At 39.6% G+C, this 26,055-nt stretch overlaps 1 long non-coding RNA gene across 2 annotated transcripts in view, besides 1 other annotated feature; it reads right to left on the bottom strand.

Annotated features, from left to right (window-relative positions):
* ANKRD17-DT (ANKRD17 divergent transcript) overlaps positions 1-26,055 on the bottom strand; it is a 99,858-nt gene that overhangs the window by 28,200 nt on the left and 45,603 nt on the right. The window contains exons 3-4 of one of the 2 annotated variants that reach the window (NR_187400.1): positions 23,643-23,764; positions 12,871-12,997 (exon numbers count right to left, since the gene is read on the bottom strand). This is a non-coding gene — a long non-coding RNA (ANKRD17 divergent transcript). Of the gene's footprint in view, positions 1-12,870; positions 12,998-23,642; positions 23,765-26,055 lie in introns of those variants that run through there. The other variant, NR_187399.1, reaches the window with a different exon arrangement.
* Positions 3,880-5,079: an enhancer, noted in NCBI's record as "BRD4-independent group 4 enhancer chr4:74191462-74192661 (GRCh37/hg19 assembly coordinates)". NCBI's record gives its function as "activates an origin of replication core promoter dependent on BRD2, P300/CBP, MED14 and CDK7 cofactors, and independent of BRD4, by STARR-seq in HCT116 cells {active_cell/tissue: HCT116}" and the evidence as "EXISTENCE:reporter gene assay evidence [ECO:0000049][PMID:35650434]".

The following is a 26,055-nucleotide window of genomic DNA, read 5'->3' as shown; positions in this document are numbered from 1 at the left end:
AGAAAAAGATAATTTGTATCTCATACAAGTTGCTTCAGGTAATAGAAAAATGAAGGAGCTTCCACATAGCTGAACACGTGGAGGTTCAGAGGGTGGCTCATACCTTGCTTCCCCCATACCTCGCCCTACGCCTTTCTTCATCAATATCCTTTATAATAAACTAGTAAACACAGTGTTTTCCTGAGTTCTGTGAGCTTCTTCAGCAAATTAGTCAAACCCAATGACGGGGTCACAGGAACCCCAACCTGAAGCCGGTCAGTCAGAAGTTCCATAGGCCGGGACTTGGGACTGGTGGGTAGGGGGCAGTCTTGGAGACTGAGGCCTCAACCTGTGGGATCTGACATTATCTCTGGGTAAAGAGTGTCAGAACTGAATTAGAGGACACCCAGCTGGTGTCCACTGCTTGATATGTAGGAAAACCCTCCACACAATTGGTCACAGAAGTCTCCTGTTTTGACGATTGTTGTGGTGTGAGAGTAAAGGAAAAGCACAGTTTGAGGAGAGTATTCCCTACACATATTGGTGTCAGTAAAATGGAATTTGCTCGAATTGTCTTTGACTCATGGAAACATGTGGTTTGGGAAGAGAAAGGATAAAAGGGTGGGGGATGAGGAACTTTTGATTCCTGAGTGGCCATGTGGTCACCTGTCATATGAAGCCAGTAGCTGTACTGAGATCAGTTACTAAAGGTGAACGTTACCAGTGGAATCTCGAGATGGATTCAACTCCCCAGGAACTGGTTCAGTGGTGGATGCCTAAGAAAATGCAAACTAATAAGAGATAAAGCAAAATATTCAATCCCTTGGTTACTATTATCTATCCTGGCTAAAATGAAAGTAAAAGAAGGTGCTGGTTCAGGACTCCAGGCTGGACTAAGCTCAGATGTAGGTCTGTCTGAGCACAGGCCACTAGCCTCAAAGTCACCCACAAAAGAGAAAATTGTGCAGTGACAACAGAAAGTAGCCCTGAAACCTATGATTACCAATAACATAATCAAACGCAAAACCAGGTAACAGTTGAAACCAGAGGATATAATGTGAAGGAATTGTTCCATTTTGTAGATTGATATCAACTTCCTGAGAAACTTTTACTAAAATGGACTATGAGAGTATCAAATTTAGGGGCAGTAGCTTTGATTTTAAATGCTGCAGAGTGGAATAGCATGTCTGGGTTTATGTAAGACCCACAACTCACCATTGAACAATCGCAGATGGGTGTATACAATCCAGATACACAGGAGGTAATTCCTCAGTGAATAGCCAGCCTGGTGGACTGGATAAAATCCACTGTAACGTCTGTTTACCCTGAAAAGGGGAACTGTCCAACTCTACCTATAAATGCCAAGTGGAGCACCCCAGATGAGGCAGTTGATATGTTTTTTATGTAAGCCATGTGGGACTGGCTTTATGATGACGGGGATATTCACCACTGAATATGCCCATTACGCAGGTTATGGTAAATGTTGTGGTTAAAGAGGCCCCTTCTACCTGGGCATCCCACATGACATTACTCCTGCAGAAGAGGGCCCCTTAAAATCATTACCTGGTTTTATTATGGGAATGAACATTGTATCTGATTGGGGAATGTTTCCCCTACCTGGTACTGTAAAACAGAAGGCATGTAAGTCAAACAATATTTCTAGAAGCCTTATCAAATTTTCTGTCTCAGTTTCCGCTCATGGGTCTTACAGATGCTAATAAAAACATTAGGTTAATTAGACCAGGCACAGTGGCTCACACCTATAATCCCAGCACTTTGGGAGGCCAAGGCAGGTGGATCACTTGAGGTCAGGAGTTCTAGACCAGCCTAGACAACATGGCAAAACTCTGTCTCTACCAAAAAATACAAAAAAAAAAAAAAAAAAAAATTAGCTGACCATCGTGGCACATGCCTGTAATCCCAGTTACTCAGGATGCTGAGGCACAAGAATCTATTGAACTTGGGAGATGGAGGTTGCAGTGAGCCGAGATTGTGCCACTGCACTCCAGCCTGGGTGACAGAATGAGACTGTCTCAAAAAAGAAAAAAAAATTAGGTTAATTAATAAGAGAATGGTGAAAGGCAAAAGGGAGAGTCAAAGGACTCATCCCAGGAAGGTGGAAATTTTTAAAAGGTTATTAAGAAATAAGGTGAATAAAAAAAACATTGATGAGGTGAAACTAGAAGAAAAAGAAAGGGGAGAGTCATGGGACTCATCCCAGCAGGGTGGAAATCTTTAGACGGTTATTAAGAAATGGAAATGAGTAAGATGGAAATTGATGGGGTTATAACAAAGGTCTTAATATAATACTATCGAAGACTGGGTGGGCCAAAGGGAACCCCTTCTGGACCCCCAACACTAAAAGGCCCCAAACCAGTTTGAAGAAACTCAAAAAGCTAGAAGGCAGAGGTTACAATAAAAAATCTGATCTGAAACTGCCGGTGGCAATAATTGGGCAGAGTAATCAAGACAAATGTTGACAAAAGGGCCAGGGTCCTTTGGCTTAATCCTTGGCTGGGGATTTTTGCACAAAGCTTTTTGCACACAAGAAGGTAAAATAGTCTGAAGGTGGAGAAGCTACTGAAACTAGAAAATTAAAAATGCAAAAGTTGATGGGCTTCTGAAAGTTGATGTATTTGAACATTGTATCTGATTAGATGTTTCCCCCACCTGGTACTGTAAAACAGATGGCATGTAAATCTGCCCTTCAAGCAGTATTAATTGGACATGCTAAATGAGAACCAGTAAAACTTTCAAAGTCTGCACAGTACAGAGTAGAAGCTAGAGTGACAGTAGGGATAAATTCTTCCCTTGATAACCTTCTGTGAAGCATTCCCTAGGCCTTATGGCAAAAGCCTCCGAGCACCTCCCAGCAAAATCTACTGGGACTTTGGACTAGAGAATTTCCACTTGAGAGGGCTTGCTATGAAATGTTAGCTGAAGCTACCCCTGTGACACCTGAGATACCCATGTTGTCTTGGGTGGTGTCAGAGAAATAGTCTAATGGGGATGGTAGTGCCCAGGAGAGTTCCATAATAAAATGGACATGGTTTATAGAGGATCATGCTACCCGGGAAATGCCAGGAAGGGATACTCTTGAGCAGGGTGTTTCCTTTCCCCTAAGACTGAATCTGGAACTGTGTGAGAAACTGCTGGATTCTACAGTGCCTGATAAACAGCTCTCGATTGACTAACCAACAGCCACTTGGTTTGTGGATGCAATTCCAGGGTAAATGGACACCACCTATTTGGAAGGCAGCTACTTTGGTCAAGAAGGTAAAAACAGGTCTGCTCAGTGGGCTGAATTGCATGCTGTTTTTCTAACAGTGATGGAAGAATTGATCAGTGGTAAAAACCCCTGAGTTTGGGTGTTTACTGACCCATGGCCAGTGACCCATGGCCTGGCCATTACACTCAGGCAAGATGGCCATGGAAATCTGGCCTATTAAATGGATGCACATATGGAGGATGGTCCTGTGGAGAATTTGAGGGGTGTATTAAAGAAGAACAAGTCAATGCTCATCTGAAGAACTCCCTTCCAGGTTCAGAAAGTGACCGGAATCGACAAGCAGATATCCCCATGTACTCCCTTGAAGTGGCCACCTGGGTCCTTGAAATGAGTGGATATGGGGGTATTGTAACAGAGCAGAGACGGGCTGAATGTAGACATGTTTCTTTTGCACCTTCTCAGGCACAAAATGCCAGAAAGAACTGTTGTTTCTCAGCAAGAGAGACAGTGACTGCTGATGGCTATGGGACAGATTCTCTGTTGGGAAGGCCCTGAACATAGCTGGAAAGTGAGACAGATGCTAGTAGCCCTGGGGGACTACAAATGAGTCTTGACAGGAATAGACACTGGCTATGGAGTGGGCTTTGCGTATCCAACTGAAGACGAAAATGCTCCAAGTGCCATTAAAAAAAAAAAAAACCGAATAGAATATATTGCATGGATATGGATGGCTAGCCATCATTTTCCAAGACCAAGGAATACACTGTATAGCCTATAATATCCAACAATAGGCACAGATCCTCCTTAGAGTAATAGTTTGATAGAGAAGTAGAGCAAGCAATGGAAACACTGGTTGTCTAAATCAGGGGGAAATAAAAGCATGAAGAGCTGACTTACACACCTTCAAGAGTCTGCTCACACTCATGGTCAGTAGGACTAGAGTGTCCCTGCTAGATTTTTTTCTGTTTTTCTGGTGATCTGGGGAAGAGGGGCCGGGGAGCATGCTGGTATGACTATGCAGTTCTTGCCAAGCGAGGCATATACTGATACAATGACTATAATTTTTTCTTTCTTCCCCAAATCACCTCAGAAAAAATAAAAAATATTTTTTCTCCCTACCTGATGCAGTGGTCCTAGTGTGTCTGGAATTGGATCCTTCCAGTGTGTTCTTGGTCTCACTGAGTTCAAGAATGAAGCTGCGGACCCTCGCGGTGAGTGTTACAGTTCTTAAAGATGGTGTATCCGGAATTCGTTCCTTCAGATGTTCAGATGTGTCCAGAGTTTCTTCCTTCTGGTGGGTTCGTGGTCTCACTTGACTTCAGGTGTGAGGCTGCAGACCTTTACAGTGAGTGTTACAGCTCTAAAAGGTGGAGCGTCGGGAGTTGTTTGTTCCTCCCGGTGGGTTCGTGGTGTCACTGACTTCAGGAGTGAAGCCTCAGACCTTCCTAGTAAGTTTTACAGCTCATAAAGGTAGTGTGGACGAAAAGACTGAGCAGCAGCAAGATTTATTGTGAAGAGCAGAAGAACAAATCCTCCAAGGTATGTAAGGTGACCCCATCAGGTTGCAGCTGCTGGCTCGGGTGGCCAGCTTTTATTCCCTTATTTGGCCCCGCCCACATCCTGCTGATTGGTCCATTTTACAGAGTGCTGATTGGTCCGTTTTTACAGAGTGCTGATTGGTGCGTTTACAATCCTTTAGCTAGACAGAACAGTTCTCCAAGTCCCCACCAGACTCAGAAGCCCAGCTGGATTCACCTCTCACTAGGACCAGAACTGCCACTGCAAGTGGTGGAACAGCAGGGAAATTTCTGAGCAAAAACTGTAACTATGTTTTTAACCTTCTGTCAAAATTCCTAAGGGCACATGGGTGAGTTGTGCCTTCTCTCCATCTACCAAAACTGGGGCTAACAGTGAATGCAGCTATATTGCCTGGTAGTAAAAATAGCTCACTCATTCTGCACCTACATAACATTACCCTGTCTGAATGCCTGTGGACTGAGGAGCAGCTGCTTGCTGCACTTGTATTGCTACCTGCAATAAAGACCCCAGCACAGTGGTGATTCTAATGTTCCTTCCAAAGGTGAAAAAGTTTGGATATTAATGGAAAGAAAGAGAAATTGTAGCAGATAGTAAAGAAATAAATATATGGGTTATTTATTAAGGAAAATTCAATATTACATTAACAATTCAAGACTCTCAGAGCAAGAAGATATTGTCTCTTAGATCAGTTATCCCAGATGCCTGAATGGGTGAAGCTGTATCTTGTTTTTTTTTTTTCCTATCCAATGAGTATTTTTTTTTAATTATACTTTAAGATTTAGGGTACATGTGCACAACGTGTAGGTTTGTTACATATGTATACATGTACCATGTTGGTGTGCTGCACCCATTAACTCATCATTTACATTAGGTATATCTCCTAATGCTATCCCTCCCTCCTCCCCCCACCCCACAACAGGCCCCAGTGTGTGATGTTCCCCTTCCTGTGTCCAGTTGTTCTCATTGTTCAATTCCCACCTATGAGTGAGAACATGCGGTGTTTGGTTTTTTGTCCTTGTGATAGTTTGCTGAGAATGATGGTTTCCAGCTTCATCCATGTCCCTACAAAGGACATGAACTCATCCTTTTTTATGGCTGCATAGTGTTCCATGGTGTATATGTGCCACATTTTCTTAATCCGGTCTATCATTATTGGACATTTGGGTTGGTTCCAAGTCTTTGCTATTGTGAATAGTGCCACAATAAACATATGTGTGCATGTGTCTTTATAGCAGCATGATTTATAATCCTTTGGGTATATACCCAGTAATGGGATGGCTGGGTCAAATGGTATTTCTAGTTCTAGATCCTTGAGGAATCACCACACTGACTTCCACAATGGTTGAACTAGTTTACACTCCCACCAACAGTGTAAAAGTGTTCCTATGTCTCCACATCCTCTCCAGCACCTGTTGTTTCCTGATTTTTTAATGATCGCCATTCTAACTGGTGTGAGATGGTATCTCATTGTGGTTTTGATTTGCATTTCTCTGATGGCCAGTGATGATGAGCATTTTTTCATGTGTCTGCTGGCTGCATAAATGTCTTCTTTTAAGAAGTGTCTGTTCATATCCTTCCCCCACTCGTTGATGGGGTTGTATGTATTTTTCTTGTACATTTGTTTGAGTTATTTGTAGATTCTGGATATTAGCCCTTTGTCAAATGAGTAGATTGCAAAAATTTTCTCCCATTCTGTAGGTTGCCTGTTCACTCTGATGGTAGTTTCTTTTGATGTGCAGAAGCTCTTTAGTTTAATTAGATCCCATTTGTCAATTTTGGCTTTTCTTGCCACTGCTTTTGGTGTTTTAGACATGAAGTCCTAGCCCATGCCTATGACCTGAATGGTATTGCCTAGGTTTTCTTCAGGGTTTTTATGGTCTTAGGTCTAACATTTAAGTCTTTAATCCATCTTGAATTAATTTTTGTATAAGGTGTAAGAAAGGGATCCAGTTTCAGCTTTCTACATATGGCTAGCCAGTTTTCCCAGCACCATTTATTAAACAGGGAATCCTTTCCCCATTTCTTGTTTTTGTCAGGTTTGTCAAAGATCAGATGGTTGTAGATGTGTGATATTATTTCTGAGGGCTCTGTTCTGTTCCATTGGTCTATATCTCTGTTTTGGTACCAGTACCATGCTATTTTGAATACTGTAACCTTGTAGTATAGTTTGAAGTCAGGTAGTGTGATGCCTCCAGCTTTGTTCTTTTGGCTTAGGATTGACTTGCCAATGCGGGCTCTTTTTTGGTTCCATATGAACCTTAAAGTAGTTTTTTCCAATTCTGTGAAGAAAGTCATTGGTAGCTTGATGGGGATGCCACTGAATCTATCAATTACCTTGGGCAGTATGGCCATTTTCACGATATTGATTCTTTCTACCCATGAACATGGAATGTTCTTCCATTTGTTTGTATCCTCTTTTATTTTGTTGAGCAGTGGTTTGTAGTTCTCCTTGAAGAGGTCCTTCACATCCCTTGTAAGTTGGATTCCTAGGTATTTTATTCTCTTTGAAGCAATTGTGAATGGGAGTTCACTCATGATTTGGCTCTCTGTTTGTTATTGGTGTATAAGAATGCTTGTGATTTTTGCACATTGATTTTGTATCCTGAGACTTTGCTGAAGTTGCTTATCAGCTTAAGGAGATTTTGGACTGAGACAATGGGGTTTTCTAAATAAACAATCATGTTATCTGCAAACAGGGACAATTTGACTTCCTCTTTCCCTAATTGAATACCCTTTATTTCTTTCTCCTGCCTGATTGTGCTGGCCAGAACTTCCAACACTATGTTGAAAAGGAGTGGTGAGAGAGGGCATCCCTGTCTTGTGCCAGTTTTCAAAGGGAATGCTTCCAGTTTTTGTCCATTCAGTATGATATTGGCTGTGGGTTTGTCATGAATAGCTCTTATTATTTTGAGATATGTCCTATCAATACCTAATTTATTGAGAGTTTTTAGCATGAAGCGCTGTTGAATTTTGTCAAAGGTCTTTTCTGAATCTATTGGGATAATCATGTGGTTTTTGTCTTTGCTGCTGTTTATATGCTGGATTACATTTATTGACTTGCATATGTTGAACCAGCCTTGCATCCCAGGGATGAAGCCCACTTGATCATGGTGGATAAGCTTTTTGATGTGTTGCTGGATTTGGTTTGCCAGTATCTTATTGAGGATTTTTGCATCAATGTTCATCAGGGATATTGGTCTAAAATTCTCTTTCTTTGTTGTGTCTCTGCCAGGCTTTGGTATCAGGATGATGCTGGCCTCATAAAATGAGTTAGGGAGGATTCTCTCTTTTTCTATTGATTGGAATAGTTTCAGAAGGAATGATAACAGCTCCCCCTTATACCTCTGGTAGAATTCGGCAGTGAATCCGTCTGGTCCTGGACTTTTTTTGTTTGGTAGGCTATTAATTATTGTCTCAATTTCAGAGCCTATTATGGGTCACTTCAGGGATTTAACTTCTTCCTGATTTAGTCTTGGGATGGTGTATGTGTCCAGGAATTTATCCATTTCTTCTAGATTTTCTCATTTATTTGCGTAGAGGTGTTTATAGTATTCTCTGATGGTAGTTTCTATTTCTGTGGGATTGGTGGTGATATCCCCTTTATTATTTTTACATTTGCTGAGGAGTGTTTTACTTCCAACTATGTGGTCAATTTTGGAATAAGTGCGGTGTGGTGCTGAGAAGAATGTATATTCTGCTGATTTGCGGTGGAGAGTTCTGCAGATGTCTACTAGGTCCGCTTGGTGCAGAGCTGAGTTCAATTCCTGGATATGCTTGTTAACTTTCTGTCTCATTGATCTGTCTAATATTGACAGTGGGGTGTTAAAGTCTCCCGTTATTATTGCATCGGCGTCTAAGTCTCTTTGTAGGTTTCTAAGGACTTGCTTTATGAATCTGAGTGCTCCTGTATTGGGTGCATATATATTTAGGACAGTTAGCTCTTCCTGTTGAATTGATCCCTTTACCATTATGTAATGGCCTTCTTTGTCTCTTTTGATCTTTGTTGGTTTAAACTCTGTTATATCAGAGACTAGGATTGCAACCCTTGCCTTTTTTTGCTTTCCATTTGTTTGGTAGATCTTCCTCCATCCCTTTATTTTGAGCCTATGTGTGTCTCTGCACATGAGATGGGTTTCCTGAATACAGCACACTGATGGGTCTTGACTCTTTATCCAATTTGCCAGTCTGTGTCTTTTAATTGGAGCATTTAGCCCGTTTACATTTAAGGTTAATATTGTGATGTGTGAACTTGATCCTGTCATTATGATGTTAGCTGGTTATTTTGCTCGTTAGTTGATGCGGTTTCTTCCAGGCCTCGATGGTCTTTACAATTTGACATGTTTTTGCAGTGGCTGGCACCAGTTGTTCCTTTCCATGTTTAGTGCTTCCTTCAGGAGCTCTTGTTGGGCAGGCCTGGTGGTGACAAAGTAGCTCAGAATTTGCTTGTCTGTAAAGTATTTTATTTCTCCTTCACTTATGAAGCTTAGTTTGGCTGGATATGAAATTCTGGGTTGAAAATTCTTTTCTTTAAGAATGTCAAATATTGGCCCCCACTCTCTTCTGGCTTGTAGAGTTTCGGCCGAGAGATCTGCTGTTAGTCTGATGGGCTTCCCTTTGTGGGTAACCCGACCTTTCTCTCTGCCTGCCCTTCACGTTTTTTCCTTCATTTCAACTTTGGTGAATCTGACAATTATGTGTCTTGGAGTGGCTCTTCTTGAGGAGGATCTTTGTGGCGTTCTCTGTATTTCCTGAATTTGAATGCTTGCCTGCCTTGCTAGATTGGGGAAGGTCTCCTGGATAATATCTTGCAGAGTGTTTTCCAACTTGGTTCCATTCTCCCCGTCACTTTCAGGCACACCAATCCCACGTAGATTTGTTCTTTTCACATAGTCCCATGTTTCTTGGAGGCTTCATTCATTTCTTTTTATTCTTTTTTTTTTTTGAGACGGAATTTCACTCTTGTTGCCCAGGCTGGAGTGCAATAGCACGATCTCAGCTCACCACAACCTCCACCTCCTGGGTTGAAGTGATTCTCCTGCCTCAGCCCCCTGAGAAGGTGGGATTACAGGCACACACCACCACACACGGCTAATTTTGTATTTTTTAGTAGAGATGAGGTTTCTCCATGTTAGTCAGGCTGGCCTCGAACTCTCGAACTCAGGTGATCCGCCCACCTCAGCCTCCCAAAGTCCTGGGATTACAGGCATGAGCCACCGCTCCCAGCCTCTTTTTATTCTTTTTTCTCTAAACTTCTCTTCTTGCTTCATTTCATTCATTTGATCTTCTGTCACTGATACCCTTTCTTTCAGTTGATCAAATCAGCTACTGAAGCTTGTGCATTCATCACGTAGTTCTCATGCCATGGTTTTCAGCTCCATCAGGTCCTTTAAAGACTTCCCTGCATTGGTTATTCTAGCTAGCCATTCGTCTAATCTTTTTTCAAGGTTTTTAACTTCTTTGCCATGGGTTCGAACTTCCTTCTTTAGCTCGGAGAAGTTTGATCGTCTGAAGCCTTCTTCTCTCAACTCGTCAAAGTCATTCTCCATCCAGCTTTGTTCTGTTGCTGGTGAGGAGCTGCGTTTCTTTGGAGGACGAGAGGTGCTCTGATTTTTAGAATTTTCAGTTTTTTGCTTTGTTTTTTCCCCATCTTTGTGGTTTTATCTACCTTTGGTCTTTGATGATGGTGACATACAGATGGGGTGTGGATGTCCTTTCTGTTTGTTAGTTTTCCCTCTAACAGTGAGGACCCTCAGCTGCAGGTCTGTTGGAGTTTGCCAGAGGTCCACTCCAGACCCTGTTTGCCTGGGTATCAGCAGCAGAGGCTGCAGAACAGCGAATATTGCTGAACAGCAAATGTTGCTGCCTGATCATTCCTCTGGAAGTTTTGTCTCAGAGGGGTACCCAGCCATGTGAGGTGTCAGTCTGCCCCTACTGAGGGGTGCCTACCAGTTAGGCTACTCAGGGGTCAGGGACCCAATTGAGGAGGCAGTCTGTCCGTTCTCAGATCTCAAGCTGTGTGCTGGGAGAACCACTACTGTCTTCCAAGCTGTCAGACAGGAACATTTAAGTCTGCAGTAAGTCTGCAGAGTTTTCTGCTGCCTTTTGTTTGGCTATGCCCTGCCCCCAGAGGTGGAGTTTACAGAGGCAGGCAGACCTCCTTGAGCTGCGGTGGGCTCCACCCTGTTCGAGCTTCCCGGCTGCTCAAGTCTCTACAATGGTGGGCGCCCCTACCCCAGCCCCACTGCTGCCTTGCAGTTTGATCTCAGACTGCTGCACTCGCAATGAATGAGGCTCTGTGGGTGTAGGACCCTCCGAGCCAGGTGAGGGATATAATCTCCTGGTGTGCTGTTTGCTAAGACCATTGGAGAAGCGCAGTATTAGGGTGGGAGTGACCCGATTTTCCAGGTGCCATCTGTCACTCCTTTCCTTGGCTAGGAAAGGGAATTCCCTGACCCCTTGTGCTTCCCGGGCGAGGTGATGCCTTTCCCTGCTTCGGCTCATACTCAGTGGGCTGCACCCACTGTCCTGCACCCACTGTCCGACAATCCCCAGTGAGATGAACCCAGTACCTCAGTTGGAAATGCAGAAATCAACTGTCTTCTGCATTGCTCACACTGGGAGCTGTAGACTGGAGCTGTTCCTATTCGGCCATCTTGGAACCACCCCGAAGCTGTATCTTTATGAAGGTCACTCCTGCTTTTGAAACCTGACAAGATTGAGAAGAAATCTGCAAACCTGAGTGGCCTCATCTTGGGTGACATTCATACAATATGATGGACTGGATTAATTATTAATTGTGTGTGTAGATGATAAGAGATAGGTAGGTAGATAGATGATAGATAGATATAAAGGTTCTCTAGTCAAAATACCGGGGGTGGCTGTGGTGTTATGATATATATTGATTTTTGTCCATGGTTCCTGGCTCATAACTCACATAGCCCTTGTTACAGTCTTTTGTTATAATGTGGAGTATGTTAGGCCTCAGGGGCAGGCCTCTGACCTTCTCCTGCCCTCCTTTCACTCTAATGTTCCTCTCATGAGAGGGTCCCACCCTATACCCTGCAGGAAAAAATGCTAATGTCATGAAGCTTCCTCCATAAACACCCAAGAGGACATGGTTCAGAGAGCTTCCAGATAGCTGAACATGTGGAAGTTCCTGTAGGGTGGTGCACCCAGAGAAGGCATGGAAGCTCCAGATCCCTTCCCGCATACCTCACCCTACAGGTCTCTTTATCTACATCCTTTGCAATATCCTTTATCAGCTTTGCAATACCCTTTGTCAGAAAGAAATAAGAAAGAAAGAGAGAGAAAGAAAGAAAGAAAGAAAGAAAGAAAGAGAGAAAGAGAGAAAGAGAGAGAGAGAAAGAAAGAAAGAAAGAAAGAAAGAAAGAAAGAAAGAAAGAAAGAAAGAAAGAAAGAGAGAAAGAAATGAGGGAGACCCCTATGGGCATCAATGCTAATTGGCTCATACAACACCTATTCCAGCTCCGCAGAGCAGGCAGAAGCCATATAAAACATTGTATTTCCCAGAATCTCTTTTGCTCAGATACCAAATGTGATTTGAGCTCTGCTATCAAACTTTACCCATTTGAAACTTTAATTTGGAAGTGAATCAAATGGGAAGAGGTTTAGGACGCAGGGCATCCATTTTGCTGTGGGGGCTGGTGACACAGCTGGGCATTGGGGTCCTGACTGCAGATACCTTCCTGATTAGCAGAAGTGATGTGATTCTGGAGCTGCCAACTAGAGCAGCTTCTGTATCCTGATTTGGAGACAGCATAAGTTCCTGATTCAGTGGCTTCCTGATCGTGGAAGATATGGCATCTTCATAATGTTTCAAATTCTTGATTATAACACTGGCAGTATCTTCCCTGGGGGCTCAGTTCTGCTATACGGATTTAGTCACAGTTCCTGGAAATGCAAATAAGTCTCTTTCTTCAGTTCTCAAAACATGTCTGTAAGTAATCCATTTAGCACCTCACAGGATAAATCCTTTTTTTTTCAGGATGGAATCTGTTATCTTAAACTGAACCCTGACTAACATACTACCCAATTTACCTTAAAATTGAAACCAAGGATAATACAAGATAAGGATAATAAAAGGATAATACAAGAATGAAAAATGGTGTGTGAATGTCATTTATAGATACAGATTTAAAAACTGAAATAAAATATTAATGAATCAAATCCAGCGCAGGAGATGAACATAGAAGGGATCAAGTGGGTTTTATTTCAGAAACTCCAAAATGTCTGAAACACAGAAAACCAATTGATGTGATTCACCACATTTATAAATTAAATGAGCAACATAATTAGTTTAGTTAATGAAAAATGCATAAGAAAAAAATGCAACATACATTCATGAGTTTTTTTTTTGTAAAGCATACCAAGAATAGAAGAAAATGGGCGTATAGATCCTGAGACAAAAGTTGAAGTTTTTTTCTTTTTAAAAAAAAAGAAAGAAAAAGAAGGAAATGGACTTAACTGTCATCTTTTTAAACCTCACAAACATCTTATGTAATGATAAAATGCTAGAAATACTCTCTTTAGAGTCATAATACACAGATGTCCATTATAGACATCGCTTTTCAGTAATGTACTAGTGCTCTCAGATAATAAAATCTGAAAAGGAAAATAAATAAGAATTATAAATACTATAAATAATGAAGGATTTTATCCATATTTTTCTTTGCCCTCACTGTGTAGCAATACACCTATTGCTCTTCATGAATAGAATCAATCACCTCTGCCAACACCTGAATTCCCTTTTGGTCTGGTTTGTCCAGTGGCATCAATTATTCAAAACAGCCAGTTGGCAGTGGCCACTGTCGATACAGTTGAACTTTGCTTGTGTCTCTTGGTGGTTACAGGAAATCTCTTTTAGATATTAAGTAATATCTCTTAGACATTAAGATCTCTGAACCAGTAAAAACTCATGTTCTGAAGACATGATGCAAAAAAATGTATAAGTAGGCATTTGGTGTAATTTTATGAGCCACCACTTATAGTCATTGCTTCCCAAATCTACACATTCTGTTTATGAGGAAAACAGCCCATGTACTGATTACCAGTTCAGAGCATATAATACTTTATGCAAGACAACATCCTGACCTCCCAAGAAATTGCTTTCCTGCCTGGCACTATAGGTGCTAGTCTTCAGTACGACATTTCGACAATCTATAAAGCAGGTGGTAAGGGATAAATTGTAAACTGTAAAATAATTCCTTGGAGACAATGCTGTGTGGGATGCAATGACTGTGAATAAGACACTCAAAAATTCCAAGAAATAGTGCTGCAAACAAAAGCATGGCAGGCAGAGAAATCCAGCTGAAATCCTTTCTAGGTACCTGCTCTCTACTTGCCCTAGTCCAGTTTATGGTACTGTGGCAGAAAGACCTACGAGTGGCCCTTGCAATTCTCACCTCCTCGTATTTACGTCCTCCTATAGTCCCCTTCCCTTGAGTATGGTAGGGACCTATGACGTGCTTCTAACCAGTAGACAGTAGCAAAGGTGATATCACTCTTATGATTACATTATATGGCAAAGATGATGGATGTAATTCTTGTGATTAGATTATGTTACCAAAGTCTCCATCTTAGCAGACTGGAGCTAGAAACTCTCCTTGCAGATTGCACTAGCTACATAATTTGTGGGGCCCACTGCAAAAGCAAAACCTGGGGCTCCTTTTTTCAAAAATTACTAAGAATTTCAAAACAGCTACAAAAGAGCCTTAAACCAAGTGTGGGGCCTTCTAAGCACAGGGATATGTGACAGCATAGGATGTGTGCCCATAAAGCCAGCTTGGCTTGTATGTTTGATGAAGTAAGTGGCCATGTACTAAAAGACTATGTGTCAAGGGGCTGTGGGCAGCCTCCAGACAAAAGCTAGCAAAAAGTCAGGGCCTTCAATCATATAGCCAAAAACTATGAATTAACTTAGAATTGGACTCTCCCCTAATGAAGCCTCCAGACAAGAATGCCAGTATGGCCAGCACCTTGATTACAGTCTTCCGAGAACCTGTGCAAAGAACTCAGCTAAGCCATGTCCAGACTTGTGATACGTGGAAACTGTGAAGTAATAAATGCGTTTTGTTACCAATGGCTAATTTTGTGATAATTTTTATGCAGCAATAGAAAACGAATGGAGATGTCACATAAAAGATTGAGGATAAGTTCCTGCTGTTGGCAAGCCTTCAGGAGTAAAAATTGATGTTGTTGAGTCCATGCATGGCCTCCATCCCTGCAAGATTGGTATTTTTTAATGAGCCTATTAAGAAAGCAATGGTATGGTCATAGATAGAGGCTAACTGCCAGCCTCTTTGATTATTAAGAGCTTCTTCCATGGTAAAGACTTTTTGACACGCTTTCATTTGGGACAATATTCTCATATTCTGGATCCATAGGAAGACATCTATCCTTGTATTTTACTTTTCAAACTCCTTGTTTCTAAGACTCTAATCTTCCTCCTTCTAGTTCCACTAGCCAGTCACCATAAATGGGCATAGATTCTTGATTCAGGCTATGGTTTTCATAACTGGAAAATTACCTGGGATACTCAAAATTCTACCTATCAAGAGGAATTCATTTTTCATGGTCCTTAAGAGCTAACCCTGATTAGATTTGTAGGGAGGTGGTAGTCTACTTTCACCTAGTGCCAGCAAATTATGTTGACTCATCTGTTAACCAAGGTCAGAGATTTAGGTCATAGGTAACTTGCCATGAGGTCATAAATGAAGTTGAGAGAAAAATGACAACGAAGCAGAAGTAGCACACTCAGAATATGAATCATAAACACATGTATCCTTCTTGTGCCTCTAGATATTCTCCGGCTCAGTTCCACATATATTACTTCCTTTTTATAGTGGACTGCTACTAGGCATGACTAACTTGGTACTTTAATGGATAACATGTGGTTCATCATGATCAGCTCAGATCAAGTAGTTATCCAGACTAATGGTCAGGAATTTATGGTCTATAATTATGGTAATCACGCCAATTTGCCTTAGTAATTAAGTACTCTAATTTCTGTCAACCTAGGATCTTCACATTCTCACTGAAATTAAGGGTGCCCTCAAGAGGCATTCCTAATTCATTTGTTTTCTACTTTTTCTTTCTTTTTTTTTTCTTTTTTCTTTTTTTTTCTTTTTTTTGAGACAGTGTCTTGTTTTGTTGCCTAAGCTGGAAGGCAATGTCACAATCTTGGCTCACTGCAACCTCAACCTCCTGGGCTCAAGTGATCCTCCTGCCTCAGCTTCTCAAGTAGCTGAGACCACAGGTACAAGCCACCATGCCCAGCTAATTTTATATTTTTCATAGAGATGGGGGACTTGCTATGTTGCCTAGGCTGGTCTCAAACTCCTGGCCTCAAGCAATCCTCCTGCTTCGGCCTCCCAAAGTGCTGGGATTATAGGTATGAGCCACAATGCCCATGTAATGTATTTCTTGTTGTTGCTTATTGGGCAGCTACCTGAGCCACAGGTAGCTCAGAAAGACTCTCAAATTGTTTGTTTGTTTTTTAAAACAGAAACAAGGTTTTACTATATTGTCCAAACTGACCTCAAGCTCTTGGCCTCAAGTGATCCTGCTGCTTTGGCCTCCTAAAGTGCTGGGATTACAGAAGTGGGCCACTGCACCCAGACTACTGTCTAATCTATTTCTAACAGATTTGGTGAAGAGGTTATCTCTTGAACCCTCTTGAGGGATTTTATTAGGAGTGAGGAGAGCAGAATGCAAACAACAAATTAATCCACTACTTCTACCTTAAGATTTCTACCCAAGTCTTTTAACTCTTGTATTAATATCTTTTCTTCTCTAGAGCAGGTCCATTTCTGTTCATATGAGCTATGGTCTGGATTTCAGTCAACCAAACAAGAAAACAATTAAAACTACTCCCATATGTTTAAGCTAGGATATTAAAAGACTAATTTCTGACAAGGTTACCCATACTGGTAACTTCAGTTACGTCTTAAAATACATTCCTCCCTTATTTATATGTATACATTAACCAAATCTTCTTTTCATCACTGAACTAAAATAATATTTTTCTTAAACTATTTTAAAGTACAAGCTTTATCATCCTGGGGGTTATGCTATAATATCACTCCCCTAATACAAGTTCAAGCTGAGGATCTGGTTTTCATTATTGGTCTAGACATAATAAGTGTTAAGAGTAGAGCAAGAAGAGGACTGGCTTCCTCCTGCAATATGACTTCCTTACGTAAAGTTGTGACAGGGTTGTAAAGCAAGGTAAGAACAATCTCATGAGTCAAATGAAGGTAAGCGCTCCTGGAGGCAAGGGAGTCTCTATGAAGAGGAATCAGTATTTTCTGAGTCAATCAAATTAAATCCTTTCATGTATCCCATTTTAGTTTGGGGGGACACTACTCTTTCATTATCAAACTCTTACTTTCACATACTACACAAGACTGTGAATTCAGCTGAGTTTGGAATTTGGAAACCTATATAATTAAACTTTGAATTTGATCTTTGACTATCTCAACCCTGTGGCTGCAAGAAAGGAGATATTCTTTTAGCTGGTTTTCAATCTATGCCCTAAATTAGAATTTTGAGAATGTCATTCCTTTTTTATTTAGCTGTTCAGCGTCTTTAGAAACAACACCTCCAGCCCATTCCTGATACCAATTTATAAGAGTCAGGATTTTTAGCTAGAAACAAAAAATAACCAAGTTCAACTGATGAAGCAGAATAGGACATTATTACAAGGATTTGGGGGTAGTTCATAGAATCATTAGGAATCCTAGACAATTAGGGACAGGGCTTTGCACCAAAAACTATGCTCAAAATCACACCATAGAAATGATCTAATGAGAACCCCACTGTGGCCTTCACCAAACAAAAGTTGTTGCAACCTGCACTGCACACAGAACTGGCTCTGTGTACTAAATGCCACTAATAGCATAGCTTCCATTACTGATACAAAGTTTAGTCCTGCTGCAACAATCAACACAGCTGTGCAGAGTCCTCTCTTCTGATGCATTGGCTCTCAATTTCAAGCAGAGAAACAAGACCATGTGCCCACATCCTAGGTGCAAAGGAAGCTCACGAAGCAAGTATTTGGCATTTTCAGTGTTTATAGTGGAAAACAGGGTCGGCCTCCCACCATACTCATAAAATGGAAAGTTCCCAAAACATAGGCATATTAGTTGACGAGCAGCCAAAATGAATGACAAATGTCAAGTGTGATTAAAATTGTGTGCACCATATGTACCCTATTATGCATAAATTTGATCTCTAGAATTTCTAATGCAATTCTCACACACGTGCAAGACAAAAACAAAGACTTTTTTGAAGCATTGTATGTAAAAGCAAACATGTGAAAAGAAATCAAATGTCATCGGTAGAGGATTAGATAAATAGCTTGTGATATGCTAATATGATTTTTTTTATTTAGGTATTGAGAAACTGAGAGTTTTATATATGATTTTTTTTTTTTTTCTGAGGCGAAGTCTCGCTCTGTTGCCCAGGCTGGAGTGCAGTGGTGCAATCTCAGCTCACTGCAAGCTCCACCTCCTGGGTCCATGCCATCCCCCTGCCTCAGCCTCCTGAGTAGCTGGGACTACAGGCGCCCTCCACCACACCCGGTTAATTTTTTTTGAATTTATTTTTAGTAGAGACGGGGTTTCACCGTGTTAGCTAGGATGGTCTCGATCTCCTGACCTCGTGATCCGCCCGCCTCGGCCTCCCAAAGTGCTAGGATTACAGGCATGAGCCACCGCGGCCGGCTCCATATATGAATTTTTAAAAGACTGCCTTTGAAGTGCTCCCAAAGGAGAGTGAAGATAAACACAAATGTATATCATTAGGACATGTATAATGTATCAAAGCCTCAAATGGTATGGGACTGAGGTGGTACTGTTAGAAGAATCTGCCTGTGCTTGTGGAAGGGACATCACAGAGGAAAAAGATACATATGTAAGTTAGGATTTAAAAGATACACAGGAATGTATGATGTAAAAGAGGAGGGGTACATTCCAGGCAATACAAATTATGTTTTTAAAGTCACTAAAGCTTGTTATAGCACACTATTTTTCTGAAAAGTAAGTGTTTGTCATGTTTGATATTAAACAAACAGGACTTCATGGCAGTGTTGTAGCATGAGGGAGGACCTCCAGGAAGAAATTTTAAGTTTCTAGGAACTTCCCTTCAACCTCAAACTAAAGTAAAACAAAAATTAAATGAAATAGCAGATAACACTCCAATTTTTGTCCCACTTGAAACTGCTATGGTCACATTACATCATGTCACTGAAAAATCTTCCTACAAATAACAGTTATATTTGGCAAATCAAAGATAAATAATTTCTTCACAGAAAACTAGTCACTAATACTGTGGAGTTACTTTTCCACCTTAAGTAAAAAGAAAAACAAAATTTGCAAATATTGCCATCTAGTGGCTTCAAACTGAAAAAAAATTAACTATACTTTATGTGAATCATTCAACCATGTTTCCTAGGAAAAGTTTCCTTAGCAGTTCTTAAATAAACAAATATTACATTTGTGTCTCTGCTTGAAAAGAAAGGGCTCAATTTAGGCTACTAGGCTTCAAACTTTTGCTTCATCATTTACTAGCTGGATGACCACAGGCAAGTTGCTTAATCTCTGTAAAATGCACATAATAATAGTACCTACCTGCCAGAGTTGTTAAGAAGAATTAACGAGAAGATCGTAATACAGTTGTTTAGTGCAGCATGTCACTCATATTATACACCCAATGGGTAGTAATAATTATATTGCTTAAGGGGGAAAGAGTTGCAAAACGTAGGTTGTTAGATTGAAGTTTGAGTGACACAGCATTTAAAATGACAGTACTTTTGTTGGCAGTTTGGGTTAGAGCATTATACTTTTTTTTTTGAAGTAGTAGAAACATTGTAATGGTATATTGTTGCTATCTAGATAGCAGCTATCAATAACTGGTATTCTCTAATTTTGAAAGATCCTTGAATCAAATTATGATTGCGATTTACTGTTACAATATTTGTAAAGTCCAATTCATCCCTGATTTGATCTCTTAAGAAAATATACATCTTTCTATAAAAGCATATATGGAAGTGGAGGAAAAGGCAGCTTTACCAGTTGGTTAAAAAAATTGAGGCTCATATAGGATGCAAACAGTCTTAAAACTTCCTGTCATGGAGACAAGGCAGATAAAACTGGTTCTCTCTATTTATGACATTATTTGAGCTATAGTACTGCTATGACTTATTTTATTCTTCAAGACAGTCCTTGAGACTCAGTTTAACTTAATTTCACCTGTCCAGTGAAGCAGAAACAGCATGATTGTTAAAATGAATTTGACAAAAATGTCTCTTAAGATTTCCAAGGATATGATGACAAAATGTTTATGATAGCACCACTGAGAATTTGCAGTTAGGCAATCAGCAATATTCATAGTATTAATGGACTGGAATCAATCTTGGGGGAAAAAAAGCATGCCACAAAAGTCAGTCATGAACACCCCTTCTTGGATGTTTTTATCAAAAACTTGGACAAATTGAAAACTTGTTTCTTCTAAGTTGTATAATATTTTGGGTGGATAGGTTTTGTAGGCAGCCTTTAAGATGGCTCCAGTCATTCTTGCCATTCCAGTATTCACACCTTTGTGAAATCCCCTCCCCTTGTGTGTGAACTGCACCTAGGAACTCACTTCTAATCAATATAATGCAGCATGAGTGATGGGCGTCACTTCTGAAATTAGGTTACAAAAAGTCTGTGGCTTCCATCTTGCAAGTTCTTTTTTCTTCCTCTTGCTGACCAACTGTGATGTAATCTAGTTACCAAGTTGTGAACTGCCCACCTGGCAAGGAAGCAAGGGGGGACCTCTGGCCAACAGTCCGTTAGGGACTGTATCCTGCCAATAACTACATGAGAAACTCAGAAGCAGATTCTATTTCAGTCAAGTCTTCTGATGAGACTGCAGCCCAAGCCAACTGCTTTATTATATCCTGGGAAAGAACTCAAGGCAGAGGTACCCAGACAAATCAATGCCGTGGATTCCAGAACCACAATTTAGATAAAATATTTTGTATTTTAAGCCACTAAATGGTAGGGCTATTTGTTACACAGCAACAGATAACTAATACAGTTCACCAGAGGTTGGCAAATTACAACCTGTGGGCCAGATCTGGTCTGAGGCTTGTCATTGTATGGCCCTTGAGCTAAGAATGGTTTTTACAACTAAAAGAATTGTTTGTATTTTATTTAATAAAAGAAAAGGAATACTATATAAAAAAGATCCATAGCCCACAAAGCCTAACATATTTACTAGCTTTTTACAGAGAAAGTTTTATAATTCCTGCAGTAAATAATATGACCAATGACAGCCAAGATTCAAAATGATTGCCTCAACTGACTAGAATAAAGAAGTGAAGTAAATGAGATAAAACTTGGCAGTCATTAATAAAAAGTTCCATTCTTAGGTTCAAAAATTCAATCTCAGAGTTATAGGATAACGATTATGTGACAAAGATTGGCAGATTTTAGTGGATTCCAGGCTCACAAAGAACTAAAATATAATGTGATGCTTAAAATAAAAGTTAATATAATCTAACTTTGCATTAACATCCAGCTGATAAAAGAATGTTAGCTCAAGACTATCTATATGAGTCAGAGCATATGTGAAGTATTTTAACATGAATCATTTAAAAACTGTTTAGAGACAGTGGAAACGGTTTTTGTATAAGGCTCCTCAAATGTATTTCCTTAACTTATTGCAAAATGCATTTTTTTTCCATCAACTTGGTAGGTGAAACCACTGGTATCCAAAATTATGCATTTTATCGGTAGCAATCTCTGTATTTTTAAACTCAGCTCTTCCTTTGATACCTATTTGTGTTTTACAACAGGTTTATATTTTTCTTTCTTTTTGTTTTCTTTACATGTATTCCCAAAAAAGTAGGGGTAAAGGAAAGACAACCAAGGACGTGCATGTATTTGAGAATGGAGGTGGGAGGTTGGTATATTTAAGAGTGTTTTGTCCTACATATCTTCTTTAATCTCTTGAGATTTGGTCTATCTCTGTCTATTTATGTTGGCCTATGCTATACACATGTGTATATATATATATATATATATATATATATATATATCCCTGCAAATAAATCCCAGAGCTTTGAGGTAAAACTCACTGCACAATAAAATGTTTCTAGAAACAAGCAAAAAGCAGACAATCTTCACTAATTCTGAATTCACATTTTTGCATGTTATGAATGAGGAGCATAGAAACTAACCAAATGTTACAGCTTATTTGAGTTCAAAGTGTTTTGAAGGTTGACTGGAGATATGATGTACCCATAGACACAATTAGCAACATTCATTCCTTATTTCATGCCTTATTTACTGTCTCCTCACTTTTCTAGAGAGCTGCTTCAGTTTATTTTAACTTCCTAGGTCACAATTCTCTGTTGTTTACTGTTATCTCAGAGAAATTGTTCTAAATGTGTCAAGCAGAGCCTGACTCAGATTCAGTGGCTTCTTCAGCTTCCATGCCAGCCGGTAGGACAAAGAGGACTGCTGACAAAAATAGAATTTGGTGCTGAACCCTGAAAAGCAGAACTGTGGAGGCACTAATCAAGTTCCTCTGAGGAAGAGTATTTCTGCCTCAAAATGTGAAAAGTGACTGCTATTTTCATACTCTAGAGGGAGGTGCAGACTAGCACTAAACTGACTCAGTATGGTGAAAAGACAAGAGAGATTAGAAGAAAAGATGGAACACACAAAGGAGAGCAGAGAATCGCAGTGATAACGCTTCTGCTTATATTAAATCACTATTTGAGTGAAATTACTTAAATACTTAAGGTTAAAATTTAAATCTCGAATCTTTATTTGGGTAATACTCACATTTGACTTTCTTTTGTACTACAAGTCCAACACTGGTAGTCCTAAACAAAAAATTCCTTTTTTACATTTAAATCATATATCATGATACTCTATAAAAACCTTTAACCACCAAGGGTTTAGGTGGAAATCATAATGTGTTAAGCCTCTTAATTATAAGCGCCTCCATAAGAAATTTATTTCTTATAAATTTGAATTTGGTTGCTAGGAGATGCAAGGGGAAAAAAGGTTTTTTAAGTTACTCTAATAGTTTAGTAAAAAGAAACAGGAAAACAGTAAGTCAATAGATTGGTCTGCTTGTTAGAAAGAAAATTGAAAACATAGATGGCCATTGTATTTGTTGATTTATTACAAAGTAACTTAACAGAGATTATTTGAAGTCTTCAATATGTTTAGAAGATGACTCAATGCTCAATACGATTTCACTTGTCCAAGAATTGGAAAGCCACGGGTCCAGAAAATACTCTTTTGGGCATGAGATATATAGTTATGTGGCTATTGCATCTTCATTTTAAATGAGTTTTCTCAGCTACCATGTACTAGCCATAACAGATTCATGGGCCAATTAGAGATGAAATACTTCCAAAATTACTATTGCTTAATGTCTATTTTATCATTCAATTATTATTACAAATATGCTATTATTTGTATTAATTTATATTATTAAATATCATTATTATAAAATTTTATATCCATATAACACTGAATTTGCCTTTATTCTTCTGATTTTTATGAAGTAAACAAACAAAATGGCAGTAAAGAAAAAGAAATATGATTGGCATGCCCATCACTAACTCAATCACTATTTCTTTTCCCTTGTTTCCTTATTATTGTGCCCATATTCATGCGTAGTTGAAATTATTGCTTTCATAATAGACAAAATGTTATGCTTTAGCTTTTTCACTAAAATTATACCAAAAATGCTTTTCTACTTGCCGCATGGATGCATAATTAACATCTCAATGTACAGACATTCAGAGACTATAAATGAGAAAGTGTATCACCTGCGGAAGGCCAGGTGCCATACACAAGGTGCCACTTACCTTGGCAAATTCCTCGCTGTCCCTCCATCCTTACAGAACACAATTTGTTCTCTGTCCCAGAATTGATAGAACTCATGGATATCAATTTTAGCAAGCCTCAAAGAGACTGAAAAACGATGAAACTAAAACAGCAATTTATAAATTTACATTGATAAGTATGCCCATCAAGCTTACCTCCCTGTGTTTGCTTTGACCTATCACATTTTCTCCCTCTAGGCAAGCCACATGGATGTCTAATAATAAGGAGGTTGGCTGATCAATTTGGCCTCCAAACAAAAGGAGTCTCTAATATAATTTGAATGCCTATTCCCATAATATCTTCAAGCACTTCAAAGCAAGATAAAGTCCTAGTCAGTGCTGGATGGGCACACCTGTTTTGTCTTAAAGACTTCTTTTTTGTTGTTGTTGTTTCCACTGTTTGGCAACCTTGTCCTTAATTGACACATTCTTTCACTGAATGTGCCAGTAAATTCATTCTGGTTACAGTTTTATACTTTGTGCTTGGGAGCCATTCTCTCTTTTCTACCTTAATCCACCAGTATGCTTTGATTTTACTGCCTCCCTCTTGCAAAAAAAAAAAAAAAAAAAAAAAAAAAGTATATATATGATTTTTCTTAAAACTTAGTTATTGAGAAACACCCCACTTTTTTTTTTTTTTTTTTTTTTTTTTTGGAGACAGAGTCTTGCTTTGTCACCTAGGCTGGAGTACAGAGGCACGATCTCGGCTCACTGCAGCAACCTCCTCCTCCCAGGTTCAAGCAACCCTCATGCCTCAGCTTCCCGAGTAGCTGGGACTACATGCAAGCACCACCACGACCAGCTAATTTTTTGTATTTTTAGTAAAGCTGGGGTTTTGCCATGTTGGTGAGAGAGGTCTGAACTTCTGGCCTCAAGTGTTCTGCCATCTTCAGCCTTCCAAAGTGCTAGGATTACAGGCATGAGCCACCACACCCAGCCAAACACCTCTGTTGTCCTTCATGTATCCAAATATTACAGGCATGAGCCATCATACCCAGCCAAACACCACTGTGCTTCATGTATCCCAAATATTTCCTACAAATGGCAGCATAATATTCCATTGAGTTTCTGCATCACAATTTATTTAAGCAATTCTCTATTATTGGCCATTTATAATTTTCCTTCCCCATCCTATGAAATAATAATGTATATATTTTTTCTTCTTTGACATTTTTCACAAGAATTTATATAATTCCCATATTAGAAAATCAAAGGGAGAGGATCCTGTGTAACTATTTATATTTACTGCCTAATAACTTCACAGATGGTTTGAGCAGTCTATACTGACGTCAGTAAATATAACAATTTCATATTAACCTCATTATTAGTCATTTTATTTTTCTGAAATATTTGCTATGTTAATAGGAATAAAAGTATCTTATTTTAAACTATATTTTAATTACTATTGAAACTGAACATTATTAATCTCATTATTAACTTTTTGTTAAATAAATCAAATAGTCTGTTATTTTTTAAGACGGTATTAAGCTAATCACTTTGTATGAACTCTTTTATGACATAGATATTGTTTCTGTCAATACTGAGGCTAATATTTTTTCAATTAATTATTTTAATTTAAAATATTCAGATTTTTAATGTCATAAACCTTTTCAAATTGTGGACAAACCATTTAATTTTTTTATATTTATTTTTTAAATATCTTCCTCATTAAAATACCAGATTTGTAATATATTAAAATAAAGTATTACATATAGTCAGCTTCCCTCTCCAGTGTTCCATAGTAGATTTTTCAACCATCCTGAATAATGAATCAAGCCCTATTACCTCATATTCTACTATTATACTACATAGAGTTGTCCTTGAAAGAAGCAGCTCAATTTATAACCAATGCTTAAAATCAAAACTTCCTCTTTTATGAATTTTGATTGATGCTTACATTCAAAACTATTATCTGTTTTCTCTGTTCATTGGGTTTTAATATGCATAGTCTGTCTATCCCTATTGAAGTAGCACAGCTCAATTTTAGTTGTTGTAGGGAATTATTGGCTATCTCTTTGAAGTGCTCTCCACAGGACTCTCCAAAGTTATTTATGTAGACTGGATCTTTATAGGCTTCTTCTTCTGAATATATATCATATCATATCATAATATATATTACATTTGGAGGCCGGGCGCGGTGGCTCACGCTTGTAATTCCAGCACTTTGGGAGGCCGAGGCGGGTGGATCACGAGGTCAGGAGATCGAGACCCTGGTGAAACCCCGTCTCTACTAAAAATACAAAAAATTGGCCGGGCGTGGTAGCGGGCGCCTGTAGTCCCAGCTACTCGGAGAGGCTGAGGCAGGAGAATGGCGTGAACCCGGGAGGCGGAGCTTGCAGTGAGCCCAGATCGCGCCACTGCACTCCAGCCTGGGCGACAGAGCCTCTGTCTCAAA

The sequence above is a fragment of the Homo sapiens genome, chromosome 4 (genome assembly GCF_000001405.40).
Source record: "Homo sapiens chromosome 4, GRCh38.p14 Primary Assembly".
Lineage (NCBI taxonomy): Eukaryota > Metazoa > Chordata > Mammalia > Primates > Hominidae > Homo > Homo sapiens.
This window is presented reverse-complemented; position numbering and strand designations above follow the sequence as displayed.